Source organism: Homo sapiens, chromosome 12 (genome assembly GCF_000001405.40).
Source record: "Homo sapiens chromosome 12, GRCh38.p14 Primary Assembly".
In the NCBI taxonomy this organism is placed as follows: Eukaryota; Metazoa; Chordata; class Mammalia; order Primates; family Hominidae; genus Homo; species Homo sapiens.
The window spans coordinates 40,335,679-40,356,295 of NC_000012.12; the positions used below are offsets into that span (position 1 = coordinate 40,335,679).

At 37.5% G+C, this 20,617-nt stretch overlaps 1 protein-coding gene and 1 long non-coding RNA gene across 9 annotated transcripts in view; one reads left to right on the forward strand and one right to left on the reverse strand.

Annotated features, from left to right (window-relative positions):
- Positions 1 to 20,617, forward strand: part of LRRK2 (leucine rich repeat kinase 2) — a 144,289-nt gene that overhangs the window by 110,682 nt on the left and 12,990 nt on the right. For all 8 annotated transcript variants that reach the window (XR_007063041.1, NM_198578.4, XM_005268629.5 and 5 more), the window contains 6 exons: positions 4,616 to 4,776; positions 11,075 to 11,245; positions 12,731 to 12,831; positions 15,861 to 16,055; positions 18,621 to 18,814; positions 20,437 to 20,509. Coding sequence is in view for 7 of the 8 variants with exons in the window: in NM_198578.4 (NP_940980.4) it covers positions 4,616 to 4,776; positions 11,075 to 11,245; positions 12,731 to 12,831; positions 15,861 to 16,055; positions 18,621 to 18,814; positions 20,437 to 20,509 (895 nt within the window). In the remaining variant the exon portion in view is untranslated. The remainder of the gene's footprint in view (positions 1 to 4,615; positions 4,777 to 11,074; positions 11,246 to 12,730; positions 12,832 to 15,860; positions 16,056 to 18,620; positions 18,815 to 20,436; positions 20,510 to 20,617) is intronic.
- LOC105369736 (uncharacterized) overlaps positions 19,074 to 20,617 on the reverse strand; it is an 89,145-nt gene continuing 87,601 nt past the window's right edge. Inside the window, exon 6 of the long non-coding RNA XR_944868.3 lies at positions 19,074 to 19,149. This is a non-coding gene — a long non-coding RNA (uncharacterized LOC105369736). The remainder of the gene's footprint in view (positions 19,150 to 20,617) is intronic.

Below are 20,617 nucleotides of genomic sequence, written 5' to 3' on the forward strand. Positions count from 1 at the left end.
CCACACATTTAGTAACTGTGATTTTATATCTCTGATTCCCATTTTTTAAATAGTCTGTGAACCATGACTAATATTTAATGCATAAAATTATGATGACTTCTGTAATAATTGGAGACATTCCAGATGAAACTCTTGATGTCCCCTCTGCCATTGCTCCCCAACCCCAGTCACCCTGTTACACCTGAGAGTCACCTTACATTCCTTTCTTCCTCTCTCATTTCACAGCTAATCCTTCAGCAAATCTTTTCAGCTCTGCCACCAAAATATATCTTAATGCTTCTAACAATTTCTCTCACTAACGTCTAAATCTGAGCCAGTATCATCTCTCATTGCCTACTGGTCCCCTGCTTCTACCTCTGTCTCATGATAGTCCCATTCCTCACCCAGCCTCTGGAGTGATTTTTCTAACATGAAAGTTGGATCAGGACTTGTTCCTGTTATTACCCCTCCCCTGCCTTATTTCTTGGGTACAGTGCTCAGCCACTCCCATCCCTGAGGTTCCTTGCAGATACCAGAGGCTTTATATCTGCTGTTGATTTCACTCAGGAATGTCTGACTCCCAGATGTGCTCTCTACTTATTATAAAGGATTATCTGAATCTTTCTGAATCCTTTCATTTAGGACTCTCAGCAGAGAGGATGTCCGCAACGACCCTTTGTCTCTCCAGCCCCTATAGGACTATTGCTGCCTAGGATTCTTTATGTTTTCATTTTTTAAAAACTTATTTATTGTCTGTCTTGCCATCAGAATCTAAGTACCATGAAAGAAGGGACTTTTCGTCTTGTTTGCCATTGTATCTCTAGCTCCTAAAATAGTAAGCCTTCAGAATTACTGTGTTGACAGTAGGGGAAGGGGGAGAAAGGAGGAAAGAAGGAAAACAGTGCCTGGGGCATAGAAGCCAAGCAGTGTATGCAACTTTCCTTCTCTTCTTTCTCTTCTGAAATGCTATGAATATGCCTTTTAGGTAGTATCCAGAAATGTTCCTTCCTGAAAGGGTCCAGAAACTACTGAAAACTGTACAGATTATGAAATGAAACAGGGTGCAGGGATTTGGATTTGAGTTGATGTTTCTGCTTTTGAACACCAGGGGGAATCTTGGGTTACATTAATCTAGGTAAAGTGCAGAATAGTCTCCTGTATTTCAGTGCCCTCTTTCCTTCATTTAACTAACTCTAGGTTCTAGTTTTTCCCTAATTCTTCCACAAATCCCCAAAGTGTTTATTTATAAAGTGAAGAATTGCTATTTTTTAACACTGTTCGAAACACCTTATCTCTAAAATGACTTATTCTAGTTCTCTGAAACCTTACTTTAAATAACAAATCCAGCAGTTTCTGATGAAGTAAATGAAATGTCAGCATATTTTAAAATAATTTGCCTAATTTGTTCTTAGCATAATGCCAGAAAAGCTTTCTGGATTTTGTATCACAAAAGGCTAGTAGATTTCAGTAGCTATCAATCTTCTACCAGCACTAAGTATATTTTAAAAACTCAGCATTAAGGTTTATTTTTCCAAGTATGTTTCAGCACAGGAAATAAAATCATGCTCCTTTGGAGTCCCTTAAATGCTGGAGCTGTTTAGAGTGACATACAAGAACTTTCTTCACGTTACATGCTCTCTCTTCCTCCATCTTGCTTTTAACTGTTAGCTTACTTCTCCAATTCAATCCACTTCGTTTGAACTCTTTATCATAATTCTATAAAACTTATGAAAATACAGTCAACTGCATTTTCTGTATGTTTCTGTGTTTCAATATCTTCAAAATGGAATGTACTGCCTTGGTACATCACCCACTATGAATCTGTTATTTCTGTTATATCCCACAGTTGCCAGGCCAGGATACTTGTCCCATCCAGGCCAAACACCTTCCCCCGAAAGCAAGTATGCATTTGTCCACCAGGTCCTTGACTCTATTTTACATTATCTTTTTAGTCAATTCATTTATTTTTATGCCACTCCTGCTGTCTTGGTTCAGTATGTCCAGGGAATTATCAGAATTTCTTTTCTAAAATAAAAATCTGTTTATGCTTGCAATTCCTTGACAGTTCTCAATTATCTGCAAAGTGCATCCAAACTTCTTGGCATAGCATCAAAGATCTTTCTGTATGCCTCTTGCTTCCCTTTGCGGCCCCTGCCACCCCACTGCCCACACTGCATTCTAGCCGTGATGACAGGCTTGAATTTTCAGTTATGCTCATGTCTGTCCATCATTGTATTTGTTATTCCTCTCTTTCCACCAAGTTGTCTGCCTAGAGAGCTCATTTTCCTTAAGAATTTCTTCACAAACCATCTCTACTATGAAGCTCAAGTGTGTCATGAAGTGTTAGCTTCTCCAACTTGTGTTTCTTGCAGACACTCTGTGCAAGACATTGACTTAGGTGCTAAAGAGGGAAAGCTAGATATTATATTGTTCTTGAGGTTGAAAGCTTACAGTCTAGTAGGAGAGTCAACTTTGCTGTCTTTACCTCAGTGTTTTTCTCCCTCTGTGCTTCCCTAGCACGTGGTACTTACATATTTCTGGAATCTTGATTAAACACCTGTTTGAGGACTGTCTGAGCACAATCCTTCTGGATTGTGACACCCTCAAGGGAGCAGAGATACAAAGATGGCTTTGTATACTAAATGACTGGCCCTCATAGATACCTAGTACATATTTGTCAAATAAATGAATGCATTCTATTTTTGGAATAATTCTATTCAGAATCAGATAAAGTTTACTTTAAGCTATGAAGAAAGAAGTCTCTTAGCAACTCTTACAATAATCACAATCAAAGAATGACTGTTTAACTTAATATAAACCAGTTTGTTTTAATAAAATATTTGACAATAGTCATGGTTACACAATGCATAAATTATGGCTAAATTATTATCAGGAAGGAAAAATCTTTACTTATTATTTCAAAAGCTATTTTGCTAGTCTATTAAAAGCTATTAGAACTGCACTTCTTAAGATTAAATTCTATAATTGAACATTTTAACTAACCAAGATATTATCTCTTTGCCACTGACATTATTTCAAATTAAGCTTAACTATTTCTTTTTAGCCTTTGGAAAGTATTCTGAAAGAGTCTGTGTTCTATAAATATACTTAAAGAGGCATGTCTTATAAAGGATTTGGATACTATTCAATGATGTATGACTTGGCTTTAGCTTTTTTATTCTTAATCTCTCAGCTTTTCTCTTCAGCAGGGGAAGAGTACCTAATGGCCTTTCAGTAATCCCTTGGTAAATTTTTCTTTCAAGCCCATTACTTACTGTGAAGGTCAACTTCATTAGTGTATTTATCTTATTTTTTTCAGCCCAAAATAGGTATATTGAAATGAATGGGCCTAATGTCAAATGTCCCGACTACATCCTGGAAGAGAGAGAATCTTCAGCTGTATTAGTTGATGCAGTTAAATAATATGTACTCTCCAGGCCCTCATACAATTGAAAGTTCAGGGTATCGTTGCTGCTCTGCTTCTAATCCTTCCAGAAGTGATTGGTGCTAGGTGATGGAGTAACTATTAATTGATATAATGTGAGCCAAAACCAACAGTCACGAATAAGCAAAGGATTTAAATTTAACTCCATTAAGTCTTGTGAGAAATTATTTTCAACATAGGTTATAACATACCTGTGACATCACATGAAATGCTGTAGTCAATTTGACATCATGGGGCAGAGAAGACAGAGTTGGAAATCAGAATTTTATAGACATCTAATGTGATAATAACATTAGTAGCTGAGATGCGGTAAGCTCTTTGACCATGTTTCCAGAATGGATAAGACCTGGTTGAGATGAAAACTTTACACTGTTTTTTTATATTAACTATCTTTTACTCTTTGCCTGAAATGTCCAACTCTAGTTGCTCGTGATTGCGTGGGTCAGTCTCCAGAAGGTTGGACTTTAATATTACCCGTCATCTTTTCCAAGACAAAATTGTATTCATTCTAACTCTTAGCCCCAAATTTTCTTTTTTAACCTTAATATCTAACATGATTAGGTTTATGGTAAATTATATACTCAAACAGAAGAAGAGACTAATAGCAAGCAAAAGTCTTATATTTTCATTTGTTTTCATCCAAAAAGTAGAAAATATTTTCCAAACATTGGGAAACATTTTAGTCAGAAAAATAAATATCAATGATAAATAGAATAGAGAAAAATTTTAAAGCTGAGCTAAACCTCTATGTGGTTTTAGGAAAATCAAAACTATTAAATAAATGGCAAGTACAACAAAATCCCATCAATTCTTATTTAACATACTTACATTTTGAAATAGTTAAAATATTCATATGATCATTGAGAGAATTCAGAATTGCCTTTAAGTAATTGTTCACATATACAAAAGAAAAGTCTCCAAAAATTGGGTCTTTGCCTGAGATAGATTTGTCTTAAAATTGAAATCATTCACTTATCAGATTTGACCCTTTTTTAAAGCATAACTTTGCTGTGTAATATTAGACTTATATGTTTTGATTTCCTTCTACAATATCTCTTAACTTTAAGGGACAAAGTGAGCACAGAATTTTTGATGCTTGACATAGTGGACATTTATATTTAAGGAAATTAGGACAAAAATTATTATAATGTAATCACATTTGAATAAGATTTCCTGTGCATTTTCTGGCAGATACCTCCACTCAGCCATGATTATATACCGAGACCTGAAACCCCACAATGTGCTGCTTTTCACACTGTATCCCAATGCTGCCATCATTGCAAAGATTGCTGACTACGGCATTGCTCAGTACTGCTGTAGAATGGGGATAAAAACATCAGAGGGCACACCAGGTAGGTGATCAGGTCTGTCTCATAATTCTATCTTCAGGATGGATAACCACTGACCTCAGATGTGAGTTCAGAAGAGTCAAAAGGAAAACAGAGTCTATCACATTGTGAACAGAGGTTTATTTTGTGAAAAAATGCAAGCATCACATTGTGATTTTTATCATTGTATTTTGTAGGAAAAAAACAATTGATGTAATTTTTCAGGGCAAAAACTGAATAAAAAGAAGAGAATGTTTGATATCAAGTTATATGTTTTAAAGTTAGATTTGTAGATTCTTTAGATACTCTAGAGGTCATAAAAAGTAACAGCAAAAACTTTAGTCTAGGTATTGTTGGCACTTGTGAGGCAAATCAAATTCAGGTCCACAAATTCTTTTTCATAATTCTGAAACCCAAAGAACTCTGAAAATCCCAAGATTTTTTAAAAAATGACTAATTTGGTGTCAAAACCTAAGCAAGCTGACTTGTTGCTTATTACAATCTTTATTTCTCATGCTCAGTGTGAATATGCATACATTTTGCTGCAGAAATATATACATGTTTGAGTACAGGGGGCTGGCCGTGACCCTACTGAGGGTTTCTGTACACATCACTGTCTACCCTGTGGAATCTTACCTCCCTTTCTTAGTTCCCAATCCTGAAAAGCAGTTATGGGGCCAGTGCTCTGTACAGACATGTTGTCTCAGACATCAGTTTGAGCAGGAAGTAAATCATTTAGGGGTTGGCATTTGTTTGGAGTGTGGGGAACACTCTATCTTTAGGGAAACTTTATATAGTTAGTTATTTGTAAGTAAAATTACAGGTGGCTATACATCATCTTGCTGATTGCAACTCAATTAAATCACCGTGCCTGGCACAGAAGAAAATATGCTACAGGATATCTCACTAGGGAAAAGGTTCTAGTTCGTTTCCTGCGCACTCAACTTTTGTACTTAGATAAGCAAATGGCCCCAGATTCCAATGCCTGGTTTTATTTTTGCTCCAAATACATATATACTCTTTTGTTTTGGATAGTTACATTTTAGAAGTAGACTGTGTATTCTCATAAACACTTCAAAGTGTATGTTCTGGCTGAGAGTGTCTCTGTGTTGTTCAATAATAATAAGACTAATTATCATTTTTTGAGTACCTGCTGTGCGTCAGGCCCAGTGCCACGTATATTAGAGACAAGATCTCTTATCCTCATGCCAGGGCTGGAAGTTAGCTATTAGTTTCTCATTTGCCAAATGAGAAAACTGAGGCTCAGGGAGATTATGTAACTTGCAGAATATCACTCAGTAATTGGCCAAGATAAGAATTCAGTCTAAATGAGAACCAGATCCAGAGATATTTGGCTTTAAATTCTATAGTCTCTCCTAAACCATATGCAACTCTAACATGAAGAAGCTTATTTAATCTTCACTATTAAAAAAGTCAAAACAAAACAACAGAGCCATGAATAGCAAATATTGTCAATGAGAGGTTTGGAAAAACAGTCTTAAAGGATGAAATTCCATAGACCTGATATATTTCCACCTGGAAAAAGTGGGCATGGGACAGTGATTTTCTCTTGAAAGATCTGCTCATTTTTGTCATGGGACATGAAGGTGGACTGGACCACTCAGTTTCTTCTTTCTGCATCTCCCAACCCAGTCTTTCTGTTCATGGGGTGAAAATCTGTTGTTGAAGCCTTGTCTGCTTAATTGGACAGTGGATCTCTCGGGTCCCTGTGGGCTGTGCGCTTGTACTTGAGCTCTGCTTCTTCACTCTGTGGTCTAGGCCAGCTAGCAGCCAGCTGAGTTCACCTTGGTTCAGACTCATGGCCTTTCATTTTCAGTATCTGACTTCCTGGTTTTGCTGAAAACCTGTCTAAAATGTAATATCCATCTGATTCTTCATACCAAGCCACACAATTCTTCCTGATCCCTTTTAATCTCCAATATTGAATGGTGGTAACATAAATATGGAGACAGATCATGTCAGAAACCCAGGGCCTAATCTTTTCTTTTCTGCCTACTCTTCTCACAGGCTGCTTAGTACTTTGTAAGCTTTTTTTTTTTTTCTGGCTGTAACCTAGATTTTCTCTTTATCATTACTCTATTTATTATTGTTAGAGCACTTCTGATTATCTCAGCCCTAAACTCTGCCTCCAATTTTAAATAACAATAACTCCCACTCCTGCTAATACTGCTACTACTACTACCATCACCAAACTTTTTCTTCCCCAAAGCAGTTCTGTTTGGGAAGGAAACAGTTCCCTCTCATACAATTTCAGTTATCTTCTTGTCTTTTCCGTTTAATGAATCTTCCTGTTAATGTTACATCTTTTAACATGGAAACTTCTAGAGAAACAAAAGACGATGGATTTGTTAAACCTTTTGGGTGTATTTTTATACTAACTCTTACTGCAGCGTGTGCATTATGAGTGTAGGTCCATTACGGCTGTATTAGGAGCAGAACCTTCCAGAGCATGAGCGATGTGCTGGGCTTGTGCTTAGCTCTATCCATGAGTTAAGTATCTCAATCCTTAGGACCCTCTGACATATGTGCTATTATTATTTCTAGTCTATAGATACAGAGACTAAAGTTTAGAGAATATAAAAAAACATTTACAAGGTCCTATGGGACAAAAACTGTAGGACAAAATGCAAACCCAAGCAGCCTGAGAGCAGAGCTCCTGGTCCAGCACTGTGATAGCTGGGGACGCAGAGACAGAAACAATGCAATTATTGACAGGGACCATGGTGCTGTGTCTGTCCACATTTTGAAGATAATTATGGTTTGGATATTTTCACCTTTAAATAACTTGGAGAGTTTCAACATTAACTCAGTCAGATGGATACATTTATATCATATCCTGCTGGGAGTGACAGTTAATTCTGGGTCCTATGGCAATTGCACTTTTGACTGAGATGAATGCTGACTGATGGCTTTAACATTTAACTAATGCGATAGTATTTAACACACCCATATAAATACTATAGTCTTCGGGTAAATAAAATGTTACCGGCTGGACATACATGAATATCTGATGGAGATTATGGAACATACTCTACTCATACTTCTCTGAAAGTAAAAAATAAAAGATATGTTTCAGTACACAATGTGATATGTACTCAGACTTAATTCATAAATTTCTCTTATCCTTCATCCGTGGATCTTTTCTTTATTTACTTATTGCGTTTGTTAAAATGCAGGCTTCTCTGAAAAATTATTTTTAAAAATAGTTTTTAGACAATGAATCATATTTTCTCAAGTATTTTAACATTGTAATCATTATGATAATTATCCAAGGGGAAATTATACTTATTTTTTATTCATTTATTCATTCATTTGGCAACAATACATTGAACATTTACTAAGCATCAAACTGGCTCTACCACTTAATAGTGGCATGATGTTCATCAAGAAATTGTTAGTGCAATCAAGAACACTAGAAATTCATTGGATGAATTTAAAGAAGCTTTTAGAAGGGTATTATATTATAATTGAGGCACTTTATGAATATATAAATAATATTATGTTTTCATGCTAGAGATCATGCCAATGAAGATATTTACTTTGAAAAGGAGAAGATTAGAAGTTTAAAAGCATTTCCATATTGAAGTAAATATTCATTTCCATATCTTCACAGTTATCTTTCTCTGAGTTCTCTGACTCATTGTGAAAAAAAATCCCAACCTTCTTCACAGCTCTACCATCTTCGGATTGTTGCCTAGAGGGGTAAAAACTATTGTAAAAGGATGTGTGCACTGGATGAGAATTTAGAATTAGACGAAATGACCCCTAGAGTCTTTTCCTGCTTTAAGAGCCTGTGATTCCAAATTCTAACAGTACATTTATCAAGAAAAAATATGCTGAACATTTAAATAGTTTTTGAATAGTACCTAGATATAATAGATACCTAATAAATGTGCTCAATGAATAATAAATAACTGGTTAAGATTTAAATAAGCCTCCAAAATCTCTTCCACATTCTAAGAAGGGAAGCATAAAGGTTGTTAATGAACTAGTGACTGTGTGGGTAGCTCATTATTTTTAAGTACTCTTGACTTTGCTGTTCATTATCTGTGTGGCCTTAGGAAAATACACACATTTCTGAAAGGATTATGTCGTTTGTAAAATAGAAAGTCCTTATCTGTCTACCACAGATGATTCTTATGCAAATCAAATGAAATGTTCAATAAGGTGTCTGTAAAATAGTAGAGAGAGATGAATTAGGAGCTATTGTGATTTGTTTACATTATGTCACAGGTGCACTTTATTAGGGATATGTTTTATCTTAATTACACAATTCTTTAACTTAGATTTTGAGAATTATATTATGGTTATATAGGAAAATGCCCTTATTCTAAGGAAATGTATAATATATTTAGGTCTGAAACATTGTATCTGTAACAATATAGTATGTAAATTATGCTAATTCACATGATAATTATATGTAATTATATTAATATATTACTATGTATACAATATATTTACATGCATATATGTGGGGAAATGTTATCAGTTAGTGTAGTAGGGGTTATCATACTCAAATTCGATGTCTCCATCCTTCCAACTCTTCATGCTTTTCCAGCATGGTGAGGACTGCTGAGCTCCATCTTTTGCTGGTAGTCTCTCTGTCAAATAGAACTGTTTCCAAATTCAGTCATTTGCTCCTTGAAGGCTATGAATTCATACTTCGTTATATTTTTCTGGCTGCATATTTAAATTACTTTAACAATCATATAAGTTCATTGTAAAAATTTTGGAAATAAAAAGGAAGATAAAATGCACAGATAATTTTAGCAAATGAAATAATAATTATATTGGGATGTATTTCTTCCTAGATTTTAATTATGTACATTCCCATCAACTTTTTATTTTGAAAATGTTTAAGCCTAAAGAACAGTTGAAAGAGTAGTACAGGCTGGGTGCAGTGGCTCCTGCCTGTAATCCCAACACTTTGGGAGGCCGAGGTGGGTGGATCACTTGAGGTCAGGAGTTCAAGACCAGCCTGACCAACATGGTGAAACCCTGTCACTACTAAAAATACAAAAATCAGCTGGGCACGGTGGTGGGCACCTGTAATCCCAGCTACTCGGGAGGCTGAGGCAGGAGAATCGCTTGAACCCAGGAGGCAGAGGTTGCAGTAAGCCAAGATCACACCCCTGCACTCCAGCCTGGGCAAGAGAGTGAGACTCCATCTCAAAAAAAAAAAAAAAAAAAAAAAGAAAGAAAGAGTAGTACAATATACATTCATACTCATATACCCGACGCATAAATTCATTGATTATTTACTTTTTGCCCTACTTGTTCTTTCTTGCTCTCTTTGCGTATGAATGAATCATTGAAATTAAGTTGTAGACATCATGCCATATCACCTCTGAACAGTGTGTATATTTCTTTAGAATAAGGATGTTTACTTACATAATCATAATACCATTATCACAGCTAAGAAAATTAATTCAGTTGATTTTTTCCACATATTTGATAACTTTCTGTCTATCCACGATTATGTCTTACATATTCTTTTAATTTATGTCATAGCATATCATCTTAGAAAGTGATCCCTAAGTTACTGCATGGTATACATTGTTTAACCATTTCCCTTTGTGATTGGATGTCTTTAGGTTGATTATATTTTTATTATTATCACAAATGTTGAAATCACTCTTTTTTTCTGAAGAATTTAAAAGTAATTTATCTGTCTTATGGAATAAAATATTTATTTCCCCTTAAAAGAATTTCAGGCATGAACCCAAGAGAGAAGGCTTTTTTTTTTGTTTTAGTTGTTGTTTTTATTTTTATTTTTTATTTTTTGGGTAGAAGGAGCAGAGAGACAAGTTCAGGAAATAATGAGAGTGTTAGAATTTTGTTCAGGTTAAAGTGAGTTGGAGTGAAGTTTAGAAATCTCCTTTCTACTCATCTCTCCTGTTTTTAAAACACTGTCCTGGAAATAGTTAATATTAGGAACGAGAAAAATGGTATAGGTTTTCCTAGTACACTTTATTTCTTAATTATGAAATTCTACTTAATAACTTACCATTGAATGTTTATCCTTATTATCATTCAAGGTAATTTTATTGAAGATTGAAGATATTTATAATAAAGATTGAAGGATTTTATTGTCCTGTGTGGTCAACCTTGGGGGGTGAGATGTTATGAGACAGGACAATTAATTGACTTGATCAAGGTACCTTGTTATAAAAATAACACAGCCTGGTTTAGAACATCTCTTCCTGACTCTCTTATTTGGCATATAGCCTAAGTGTATGCCTCCTTGGATGTATGAGCCCTGATGTTGGTCATATTTATTATTTTATCTGCTTACTTTCAGGGTTTCGTGCACCTGAAGTTGCCAGAGGAAATGTCATTTATAACCAACAGGCTGATGTTTATTCATTTGGTTTACTACTCTATGACATTTTGACAACTGGAGGTAGAATAGTAGAGGGTTTGAAGTTTCCAAATGAGTTTGATGAATTAGAAATACAAGGAAAATTACCTGGTAAGTTCTGTTTTCTCTACAATGAAGATTTTTTTTCTTAATATCAGCAGCTTCATTTTTATTTAATTGTAGTTGTATGCTTAATTCCTTAAACAGATGATCATTTTTTTTGTTTAGTGCATAAATATTCTTAAATCTTGTGATATATTAATAAAAATCACCTGAAAAAGGTAGCAGTTTTAGGCTTTTTAAAAAATCCGCAATTAATATTGGTGTAGTTAATATTATATTTAGAAACATAGAGAAGGAAATTGCTGTTAGAACTCCACATTTGGTGATTTTTAATTTTCATAAAGAATTACTGTGTACTCATTATCCTGGAATGTTTTCGTTTTCTTGGAGTGAAATAATTTACATGCAGGAATGGAAGACTGAATGATCTATAATAATAATTTTTCATAAGAATCGGTAAATGTGTATTTAATGTTATCAAAGCTCATTTGGAATGGTTGTCTCATGCTTTCAAGAAATTAGAGGACTTTGTAATTCATTCCTTAACCATTACTTTAGTTCTCACCACAAAATAACATTTTAAGTTTATTTAGCTCTTTCTCATATTTTCTGCTTTCCCTTTCATTTAAAAAATACTTTTGAGTGTACACAATGTGCCATGTACAGGAAATAGAGCTTTATCTTTTTTGGGTATAACTTCAAGATCATGGCAAAAGAAAACTTATTATTAATTGGATAAACCTTAGATATAATCTAGGTTATTTCCCTTATTTTACTAGTTTTCTAGTGAAAATATTCAGGTCTCTGCTGGGTACAGTGGCTTACGCCTGTAATCCCAGCACTTTGGGAGGCCCAGGCAGGCAGATCACTTGAGGCCAGGAGCTGGAGACCAGCCTGGCCAACATGGTGAAACCCTGTCTCTACTAAAAATACAAAAAGTAGCTGGGCATGGTGGCATGTGCGTGTAGTCCCAGCTACCAAGGAGGCTGAGGCACGAGAATAGCTTGAACCTGGGAGGTTGCAGTGAGCCGAGATTGCGCCACTGCACTCCAGCCTAAGCAACAAAGTGAGACTCCATCTTAAAAAAAAAAATTCAGTTCTGTGTTCTGCATCAACCAGAATAAGCTACGCCTCTTATAAAAAACAAATGTGCACAAACCATCTGTGAGGACATAAGGATTAAATGCTTGCTTACTTTGAGTATTAAAATAAAAAGTAGAAGCTTTATTATATGAGTAAAAGTGTTTCCAAAGTCTATTTGAAATGCAGGTACAGAATGAAAATCTGTTATTTTATTAAATCGTTATTTGGGTCTCTTTTTATTCCATAAAAAAAAAATCTTTTCCACATCTCTTAGTGGAGATCAAGTTAACAAAATTAGCTTTAATTTTGTGACAAGTAAATTTACATAAATATAGGATTATGGAGATAATATTTTTCTTTGCAATGTCTGGACCTTTTATAAACATTGAGAGGAAATATAACCATTCTTACTTATTTAGTATGCTAGCATGATGTTTTTTAATGTTTTAGATCCAGTTAAAGAATATGGTTGTGCCCCATGGCCTATGGTTGAGAAATTAATTAAACAGTGTTTGAAAGAAAATCCTCAAGAAAGGCCTACTTCTGCCCAGGTATTCTTAAAGTTTTGTTAATATTTTGTACAGAACATCATTTGCATATATGCATATATATATAATCTTCAAATATATATACTTAAACACATAAACACACAGAGACAGAATTAAAAATAGTTATAAGGCAAACCTCCTATAATTTTCACCATCCCAGGCACAAAAAAAGGACATTGCCAAAACCTCACATGCTCCCATATGCCTGTCTCCTCTTCTCTTCTTTGAAATGCCTGCCCATTATTTTGCCCATTTTTCTGTTGACTCTTTTGCCTACAAATCAAATCAGAAAAAAATTTTTATATATAACATACTAATCCTTTCTTGGTTTTATATGTTGCAATTTCTTTTTCGAGCTGGTGGCTTGCTTTTTAAATTTCTTGTAGGGTGCCCGTTAATGAATGGAATTTCTTAATTTTAATATATATAAATTTAACAATTCTTCTTTTTCCTTCTTTTCCTGGTTATTCCTATTTGGTCCTGTTGTAGAGCCCATCTTTCTTTTAGAGCTACAAAAATATTTACCTGCAATTTCTTCAAACATTTTAAAAGTTTGCTTTTGACAAGATTTTAATCCATTGGAATTGACATTTTTATCTGTATCCCATTCCTTTTTTTAATGTGGAAGACTAATTTTTTCAGGTTGATTTACTAAATGGCTTCTCCCCTTTTGTCCCATAGATCTGATGTGTCCATTTTGTAATTTATTAAAGATAATGTGCATATCCACGTGTACACTGTCTTCCACTGATCAACTCATTTATTTTTCCTCCAGTATTACCCTGTCTTAATTCCTGTAGCTTTATAATGATCTCCTCTCCCTATTTATTTTTCTCATCCAGGAATATTTTAACCAGTCTTAGGCTTAGCTTTTCTATATAAAATTTAGAATCATGCTGTCAAATCTTATGAAAAACCACATTGTCGTTTGGATTGGTCTTGGATTGAATATGTTGACAATCTGGAGATGATATCCTTATGATATTAAGTCTTTGTATTCTTTTTCTTATTTATTTATTTATTTAGAGGCAGGGTCTCACTCTGTCACCCAGGCTGGAGTGCTGGAGTGCAGTGGCAGGATCACAGCTCAATGCAGCTTTGACCTCCTGGGCTCAAGTGATCCTGTCGCCTCAGTCTCCATCAGCCAATTGTGTGCCACCAGACCTGGTTAACTTTTCCTTTAATTTTTTTGTAGAGAAAGGGTCTCACTCTGTTGCCCAGGCTGGTCTTGAACTCCTGGCCTCAAGCAATCCTCCCGCCTAGGCCTCCCAAAGTGCATGAGCAACTGCACCTGGCCAAGTCTTCCTATTCTGGAATGGCATGAATTCTCTCTGTTTACTTAGGTCTTCTCAAGCGTCTTTCAATAAAGTTTTGTAATGCTACATACAGGTCTTGCATATCTTTTGCTGGATTTTCTTGCTGCAAATTGCTTTAAATGCAGTTCATGGCTTGAGATTTGTTTTTTAACTGCCCAGTTAACGTAAATCTGGTCTATGAATTGTATTGACAACAAGCTTGTGAGTAGCAATTTTTCAGCAACCTTTTGCTCCCTCTCCCCGCTCCCTGCACAGTCCCAGAACAACTTTCCTTATATACCAATGAAGGTGGAAATGTGGACAGGTTGATTTCTCCTTCTTGTTTATGCTGAATATGCAGTCCTTTGGGGTCCCAGCTTTATAGGTACAGTCCCTTTACTAAGACTGTCTATCTTGGGAAGGCCCTAGACTCCAACTTCTCTCCCATGGGCCCCACAAAGCATCCAAGAGTATACATTTATATTATCTCACTTTGTCTTGGCAGACAAATGTCTTCAGGGCAAGTCTGGCTTTAGGGGTCCACTGACCTCTCTGGTTTCTGTCTCTCACTGTGATTTCGGCCTGATAATTCCTTATGGTGTCAGATCTTCAATGTTTTTAATACATTGTTTTTAAAAAAATCATTTAGCATTTTAAATTGTTTTTAGTTGGAAGATTTGCCCAAGTAACCTTGTCCACCATATTATCTGAAAGAGAACTCTTGTCATGTTTTACACTGATACACATTTTAATAAATGTGGGTTATCTTTATGTTGTGAGCTCTTGATTTGGTATTATAATTAATTGGAAAAGTTTTAACTTTAAGTATTCTGATCAAAATAGTCAAGTACAACTATAATGACTTTATCAAATATTACATAATTTTTCTTCTACTTGGTTTACTTGTTTTTTAATTTAGGTTACCATCAATGTTAGTCACATGAACTTTTATATTTATGTCCACAGTAAAAATTTTTCATAGCTTGTTGTTTTTCTTTCTTGTTTTTTCATTTTCAATTATACTTCACCTATACTTAACAGAATACTTAACAAATATGTATATATATGACAATATTAAAAAGCTTAGACATACTTATTTTATGTTTAAAATATAACATATACTAGGCAAGACAGGAAAACTCATCACTTTTATGAAATGAGGCACAGACAGAGTAATGGGCTTTCTTGGTGTCTCCTGAGTGGCGGGCAGGTGGCCATGTCACAGCTCTAATCCCAGTTTCCTGACTTCTGGTTCTGTTTTCTTACGGTGCCTTCACACTGTCTCTCCAGATCAAAAACAGAATCTAGAGATGACTTCTAAATTTTGTTACCAAAGACTGAAATTCCTGTTCCTTTCAACTACTAGAAGCTCAACTAAATTGTTGGCCCAAGGGTTTTTCTCTCACTGGCGGTGGCTCTGCAATATAGAATTGCATGCAGAGTACCTCCTGACTCCGCTAAAATCCTGTTTAATTGACCCTTGAGATTTTCTTTTCAAGTTAAAAAAAATACTACACATACCAAAGAGTATCAAGCACAGTTTAAAAATACATATTTGTCTTTTCATGTAATTTTATTTGTAGTTTAGATTACTAATCTTGGTGATCTAGTTGGGTTCCAGTTTAACAGTTTTAGGTTTTGCTTGACAGAGCTATAACACTTCAGTCTATATTTGATTTTTCAAGGGAAATGAGTTAACTCGATAAGTACTGTTTTGTTATCTTTAAACTTTCTCAGGTCTTTGACATTTTGAATTCAGCTGAATTAGTCTGTCTGACGAGACGCATTTTATTACCTAAAAACGTAATTGTTGAATGCATGGTTGCTACACATCACAACAGCAGGAATGCAAGCATTTGGCTGGGCTGTGGGCACACCGACAGAGGACAGCTCTCATTTCTTGACTTAAATACTGAAGGATACACTTCTGAGGTAAATCCAAATGCTCTTTAAATCTTTCATAATTTAAAGCATATACCATTTGGAAAGTTACTTAGGAATAAATTAAATAAGAGCCAATGTAGGATTATTATTCAATTAGCCTTCTGTTAGAACAAGAGTATTCAAGAGCAAATGTGTTTTGCTTTAGAATCACAGCATATGTCTTAGCTCAGGGTCCCTAGAAACAGAGCCTGAGATGGGTTATCTTGCACAAGTGATTTAAGGAAAGAGAATCTTAGAGAGAAGTAGAGGAAGCCAGAAAGGGCAGAGGAAAAAGCTCAGCAGAAATGTGGTTTCTGAAGAGGTCCAGCCTCAGTCTCTGCCCACAAGGAGCTCTGGAATATGAATAGGAGCACAGAATTTTCCCACTGCCAGGCAAGGGAGCCAGTCTTTCATTCTCACATATTGTTCAGTCATTGGCTGCAATCTGCTGGGAGGTGGGGGTAGTGTAACTTTCAAGGCATTTCTGGGCAAGCTGCCTCCTGTCATCTGAGGGTATTCTGTGATAAATAGCACATCTCTGAACTATAGTAGCCAACACTCAGGGTAGCTGGGGATGGCGTACCTGATGGATAAAGGAGATCTGGACATGGCTCCTAAAAGTGGATCAATACATTGTGTTGGCAAATATAAGATAAGTTTCTAGACTTCAAAGACAACCTAGTATTTTGACTGCTGCCTGAAGATAAATATTGTGCCTCAACATTAGTTCTGAGGTTAAACAATCTTTTTTTTTTAATTGATCATTCTTGGGTGTTTCTCGCAGAGGGGGATTTGGCAGGGTCATAGGACAATAATGGAGGGAAGGTCAGCAGATAAACAAGTGAACAAAGGTCTCTGGTTTTCCTAGGCAGAGGACCCTGCGGCCTTCCGTAGTGTTTGTGTCCCTGGGTACTTGAGATTAGGGAGTAGTGATGACTCTTAACGAGCATGCTGCCTTCAAGCATCTGTTTAACAAAGCACATCTTGCACCGCCCTTAATCCATTTAACCCTGAGTGGACACAGCACATGTTTCAGAGAGCACCGGGTTGGGGGCAAGGTCATAGATCAACAGCATCCCAAGGCAGAAGAATTTTTCTTAGTACAGAACAAAATGGAGTCTCCTATGTCTACTTCTTTCTACACAGACACAGCAACAATCTGATTTCTGTATCTTTTCCCCACATTTCCCCCTTTTCTACTCGACAAAACCGCCAACGTCATCATGGCCTGTTCTCAATGAGCTGCTGGGTACACCTCCCAGACGGGGTGGCAGCCGGGCAGAGGGGCTCCTCACTTCCCAGAAGGGGCGGCCGGGCAGAGGCGCCCCCCACCTCCCAGACGGGGCGGCGGCCGGGCGGGGGCTGCCCCCCACCTCCCGGATGGGGTGGCTGCCCAGCGGAGACGCTCCTCACTTCCCAGACGGGGCGGCTGCTGGGCGGAGGGGCTCCTCACTTCTCCGACGGGGCGGCTGCTGGGCGGAGGGGCTCCTCACTTCTCAGACGGGGCAGCTGCCAGGCAAAGGGGCTCCTCACTTCTCAGACGGGGCGGCTGCCGGGCAGAGGGACTCCTCACTTCTCAGACAGGGCGGCCAGGCAGAGATGCTCCTCACCTCCCAGACAGGGTTGCGGCCGGGCATAGGCTCTCCTCACATCCCAGACGGGGCGGCAGGGCAGAGGCGCTCCCCACATCTCAGACAATGGGCGGCCGGGCAGAGCCGCTCATCACTTCCTAGACGGGATGGCGGCCGGGAAGAGGCGCTCCTCATTTCCCAGACTGGGCAGCCGGGCAGAGGGGGCTCCTCACATCCCAGACGATGGGCGGCCAGGCAGAGACGCTCCTCACTTCCCAGACGGGGTGGCGGCCGGGCAGAGGCTGCAATCTCGGCACTTTGGGAGGCCAAGGCAGGCGGCTGGGAGGTGGAGGTTGTAGGTAGCCAAGATCACGCCACTGCACTCCAGCCTGGGCAACTTTGAGCACTGAGTGAACGAGACTCCGTCTGCAATCCCGGCACCTCGGGAGGCCGAGGCTGGCAGATCACTCGCGGTTAGGAGCTGGAGACCAGCCCGGCCAACACAGCGAAACCCCGTCTCCACCAAAAAAATATGAAAACCAGTCAGGCGTGGCGGCGCACGCCTGCAATGGCAGGCACTCTGCAGGCTGAGGCAGGAGAATCAGGCAGGGAGGTTGCAGTGAGCCGAGATGGCAGCAGTACAGCCCAGCTTCGGCTCGGCATCAGAGGGAGACGGTGGAAAGAGAGGGAGAGGGAGACCATGGGGAGAGGGAGACGGAGAGGGAGAGGGAGAGGAACAATCTTCTTATATGGTTTGAAGGAATGAGAATTCACACTGAAAAATAATTTTTAATTTTAGTTTCAGATGTCATCTTGATAGGCAAAACTTGTCTGCCAATTAACTCATTTATTGCTGAAAATTAAATAAAATTGGCATTGTTTTTAAAAGTAATGCAAGAAAGCAAAAAGAGTTATGTTGATAACAGAATCCTTTATTCTGTACAAGTTCTAGTTGCTTAAGCTTAAATCAAATCCTGCTAAGTATATTTTCTTTTCTTAACAGGAAGTTGCTGATAGTAGAATATTGTGCTTAGCCTTGGTGCATCTTCCTGTTGAAAAGGAAAGCTGGATTGTGTCTGGGACACAGTCTGGTACTCTCCTGGTCATCAATACCGAAGATGGGAAAAAGAGACATACCCTAGAAAAGATGACTGATTCTGTCACTTGTTTGTATTGCAATTCCTTTTCCAAGCAAAGGTATGGTAGTGAATTTGATCAATGGGGAAATTACAGATCTTTTAAACGACTGAATTGTGTGCATAATTGTTATTGCATCAGCAAAGATTGTTCATTTTTAGCCTATTTTCATTGGTTTGCATATATTAAAGGGAATTGTGGAAGGTCACAGAGATATTTGTTGTTTTTCTGAATACAGATCTAGCTGAGACATTTATAAAATAAGTCAACCATTTATTCAGGCCTACCAGCCCTGCTCCTGGTATTACCTCAACTGTGGCTCTATCTCTTTACTTCTCCTCAGATCAATGAATCTTTGTAGGGCCTCTTCAAGGATAAATTCTCATTCATTCATTCTTTGAAAAAAAAAAAATATATATATATATATATATGAAACCCATTGTGTGCCAGGCTTAAACATACCAGTTATCTAACTACCAAATTAAGAAAAAAATTAAATAAATGAATTAATAAATTCTTAATAGGTGAAAATGACTTAGCTCTTATCAATTGCAGGGTTCTTGTCCCAAAGAAATATATCTACATAGCAAAATTTCAGGTGTGAGTTGTAGGTTGGTGACTGTAATATTTGGGGCAGGATGATTTCCAGGAGGCATTAAGATTATACCCTATATATTTCTCTGGTTTAAGTTAGTATTGGAAAAAAAGTACTAGAAAAATGTGAAGCCTGTTTTTTGTACCTGAAATATCAACTCCACTGGCAGTTTCGGAGTTGAAATTATTTGAATATGGTCAAAGAAAAATTTCAATGGATGGAATTGGGCAAGGACGACTTTATTCAAGCCTATCACAGCAGGGGAGAGAGATCAGACTGAACTAAACTCCACTGAAACAAAAGGTGGGAGAGTTTTAAGCGCAGGGGTGAGCTAATGGAAACGTACTGGAGCACCTTGTTGGAAGGAAGTGGGAGCAGTTGTCAATGTGATTAGGCCATCTGTGTTTGCTAATTGTCCCTTATTGAAGGTAGGCTCCTACTCTCCCACAGACACTGGGGAATTCCTTCCTTCCTTCCATCCCTCCCTCCCTCCCTCCCTCCCTTCCTTCCTTCCTTCTTCTTTTTTTTTTTTTTGAAGGAGTTTTGCTCTTGTTGCCCAAGCTGGAGTGCAATGGCATGATCTTGGCTCACTGCAACTTCCACCTCCTAAGTTCAAGCGATTCTCTAGCCTCAGCCTCCTGAGTAGCTGGGATTACAGGCGTGCACCACCAAACCTGGCTAATTTTTTACATTTTTAGTAGAAACGGGATTTCACCATGTTAGCCAGACTGATCTCAATCTCCTGACCTCAGGTGATCTGCCCACCGCAGCCTCCCAAAGTGCTGGGATTACAAGTGTGAGCCACCACGCCAGGCCTCTGTCTTGATAATTACATTTCAAAGGAATGGCTCCCAGGTCCTTGGAAAAGACATTCTTGGGGTATAAAACTGGGAAGAGTCTGGGAAAAGGGGCAGAGAAAGAATTTATAATTCCAAGTCTTCTAAAGTAAATACTCTAAGAAAAGGGAGGTTAGGAATTTATAGTTGAGAAGTCTATCTAAAGTTTAATAAAGTGGAGGAGAACATTAAGGCCATTTTAGTCAACATACATGTTCTTTTTGTAACAATTTCAACATTTTTCCTTTTAGCAAACAAAAAAATTTTCTTTTGGTTGGAACCGCTGATGGCAAGTTAGCAATTTTTGAAGATAAGACTGTTAAGGTAAATGTTGAATGCATTCTACATCTAAATTTATTTTAAGTCTTTTGTTTTATATATATCTCACACCCCTCTTATGGGATTATAAACTCCCTGAGAGCAAGAATCATA